Source organism: Homo sapiens, chromosome 7, assembly GCF_000001405.40.
Source record: "Homo sapiens chromosome 7, GRCh38.p14 Primary Assembly".
Classification (NCBI taxonomy): Eukaryota; Metazoa; Chordata; class Mammalia; order Primates; family Hominidae; genus Homo; species Homo sapiens.
Genome location: NC_000007.14, coordinates 128,559,467 through 128,563,260, shown reverse-complemented (window position 1 = coordinate 128,563,260; position 3,794 = coordinate 128,559,467).

Sequence of the window (3,794 nt, the reverse complement as noted above, 5' to 3'; positions counted from 1 at the left end):
TTTGGGAGGCTGAGGAGGGAAGATTACTTGACCCCAAGGGTTCCACACCAGCTTGGGCAGCATAGCAAGATCCCATCTCTACAAAAAATTAGAAAATTACCCGGGTGTGGTGGCCCATGCCTGTGGTCCCAGCTACTTGGGAGGCTGAGGTAGGGGAACTGCCTGAGCCCAGGAGGTCGAGGCTGCAGTGAGCTATGTTTGTACCATTGCACTCTAGCCTGGGTGACAGAGCAAGACCCTGTCTCAAAAAATAAATAAATAAATAAATAAATAAATAAATAAAATAAAAGGTTAGGAGAAATCAACACCTAGAGAGGAGGAAGTAGTTTTATAATCGCCTCAATTTTTTTCTTGGTTACAGGAGTCTATTCTGGTTTTGTTGTTGTTGTTGTTGAGATGGAGTCTCACTCTATTGCCCAGGCAGGAGTGCAGTGGTGCGATCTCGGCTCACTACAACCTCCACCTCCCGGGTTCAAGCAATTCTTGTGCCTCAGCCTCCCAAGTAGCTGGGATTACAAGCGCACACCACGCCTGGCTAATTTTTGTATTTTTAGTAAAGACAGGGTTTTACCATGTTGCCCAGGCTGGTCTCAAACTCCTGACTTCAGGTGATCTGCCTGCCCTCGGCCTCCCAAAGTGCTGCGATTACAGGCATGAAACACCGCGCCTGGCCCCTATTCTGATTTTTATGTCTTATTTCGTCAGTATTAATTCCTAGTATCTTTGAAATTATTTATGCATTGAGACTTTCATATAACAACATTCACTTCCAGTATTTTCTTTTTGTAAGTCCTCAGTACCTTTTGTTATATCTGATGTACTCTCCTTCATTTTGCCTTTTGTTTCCTAATTTTCCAACTCTTGATTATTTCCCATTCTTCTGTTTTGCAATGTATTTATTTCTTCTTGCATATTTACTGTTTTTTCCTCCTCTTTTCTAGTTTTCCTAAAACCATAAATTGAATGGTAAATTCATACTCTTGTACATTAAATGCTTCTTTGTCCACATTATTTAAGTTTAACTATGTGGCATTTTATCTTATTTTCTTAGTAAAATAGTCTGTTACTTGTCATTTGCTATATAATAGCTATCTGGGAGAATGCTTACTAATATCCATATCACTTGGGAGGGAAAATTATCCTTTAAAAGAGCCACCCACAGACTCAAAAAAAAAAAAAACCAGGAAATTTTTTTAATTTACTAGTTTAAATTTCTTAATTTCACAAATTTAAAGAAATTTAACTAGTCTGATTTGTTAAATCAAAACTAATTTTGATAAGATCTCTCCATAAAAGTTCTATTGTCTATGACAACATTTAAACTACCTCCCGTCTCCTGCTGATAATAATTTTCTAAGTAAAAAAATCAAATGGACAGTTTAGAAGATGAACAAGAGTCAAGTTTCTTGTTTTTAAAAGAGTACAGTTTGCAAAAATAAAACATGTTTCTAATATACTTAAAATGTACTTTTTTTTCTAGGGGGATCTTAAAAAATACTTTAGTTACAAGCCTAGAGAAAATTCTGTGGATAAATTATAAATCCATGAACACTGAGGTTAAGATGCAAATGTTGACTACCAGCCCTTTAGCACCACGAAGGAGGCTCATATAAACTAAGAAAAATTTGTAGAGACCATAGGTTAATCTTTCACTCCTGTAAATGTTTAAATGTCAACATTTACTGAGTTTCTGAAGTTTTCATTTCCTCCTTAGACCAAATTGGCTGCTTAAAAGGGACTGAGAACAGAAGACAAAAGTTAAGCCTGCCTAGGTATAAAGAAGCATAGCTGCCAACAAAGTCAAACTCCAGTAAAGAAGATAACGCCATTTAAAAAAACTAAAGGTCTCTATGCTTTTTATTTTAGTCACTAGTAGTACTACCTTTTCACACCATACCAGAGTCAAAATAGCAATCAAAATAGTTTGACTCCCAGAGACCTTACAACATTCCTAGAAGTGAAACAGATGTGAAATCTGTTAAGTTCTTACTTGATGTGTATAAACAGAAGAGTTCTAGGTCAAGTGAAAAAAAGTTTACCTTTTTTTTTTCTTTTGAGACAGAGTTTTGCTCTTTTGCCCAGGCTGCAGTACAATGGCACAATCTCGGCTCACCGCAACCTCCACCTCCTGGGTTCAAGTGATTCTCCTGCCTCAGCCTCCCTAAGTGCTGGGATTACAGATGTGACTCACTGCGCCCCGCCAAAAAAAAAAACCCACTTTCAATAAGTGACAAAACACTGTAAATAAATGTGTTTACAGGATGATTATTTAAAGAACAATGACCCAAACTAGGTCTGTATGTATCAACATCTACCTGGTAGATCTCCAAAATCATCTGCTGAGCGGAAAATGAGCTATTACAGTTCTCATTATTATAAAAGTATGCAAACATTCTTTATATAACTGGAAATTAATCATTAAAGAAAAAACAAATCCTAAGAGAAAACAGTACAATTCCAATACACATAGAAGCAATAGCCATATGCAACTACTATATATTTCATTATGGGGCCTATAATCTATGTTTTTAGCTTTCTCTTTATGCTAAAAAGTTCTCTTTTATCGAGAACAAATTCAATATTTAAATTACAGACAGAAACTAGAAGCTCTGTACAAAATCCTGGAGCACATTCACAGTAAAGAAAACAAAGAAATAGAAAAATGAGAACAAAAATATAAAAATCAACATAATCTAGATTTAAAATACCAAAGAGGTACGTAACCTTGAAGAAAATTCAGTGACCAATAAGTTTAGTTTTGTGGCTTCTTCTGTTGTGAAGAGACTATTACTTCACATATGAGGAAAAAAAAGAAAAAAAATCCCACTGCCATCTCCAGTAGAAACTGTATAACAAAATTCCTACTGGAACTGGTGTAAGATGATGCAGGAGTCAACATTCCAGTTCTGGTTCTTGACTGTGGCACAAGCGTTAACAAGTTTACTATAAAGAACTAAGCAGACATCACTAATATGGCCTTCCTTCAAGGCCCAGAAGTTAAGATAGCAACTTTAAGTTCATATCACCAATGACTACCTCCTACATACACACACGTCCTAGCACTGGTTCCAGGTTCTACCTATCTGCCTGGAGAAGACAGTTCGGAGAGCTTTCCACCAAGCCATAGCAATCTCATCTGTGACCTACCAATTCCAAAAATTACACTACTAACCTATAATCACATGATGGCAGTACATTTGGTATAACCCACATATGACTCTCAGCTAGATAACTGTTACTTATGACTCTAAATTACATATTTCCAAGGTACAGGCTCATGGTTCAGAGTTAAACTAACTTACAATTTAAATAGACACTGACTTGGATTAAAGTGTATTGACTGGGTGCGGAGGCTCACACCTGTAATCCCAGCACTTCGGGAGGCCGAGGCAGGAGGATCACTTGAGCCCAGGAGTTTGAGACCAGCCTGAGCAACATGGCAAAACCCCATCTCTACAAAAATAAATAAATAATTAGCCAGGCATGATGGCATGCACCCGTAGTCCCAGCTACTAAGGAGGCTGAGGTAGGAAGATCAATTGAGCCCAAGAGATAGAGGTTGCAGTGAGCCCTGATCGCACCACTGCACTCCAGCCTGGAATTGGTATAATAATAAGATGCAGGAGTCAACATTCCACCCAACATTCTGGGTGACACAGCAAGAATATGTCTCAAAAAAATTTGAAAACAAAGTGTATTAAAAGCATTTTTTAAATGGTGTCTCAAAAATAAAAACAAAAAATAGAAAAAAAGAAGAAAAAAACAACTGGTGTCTTGAGCTGCATGTGGTGGCT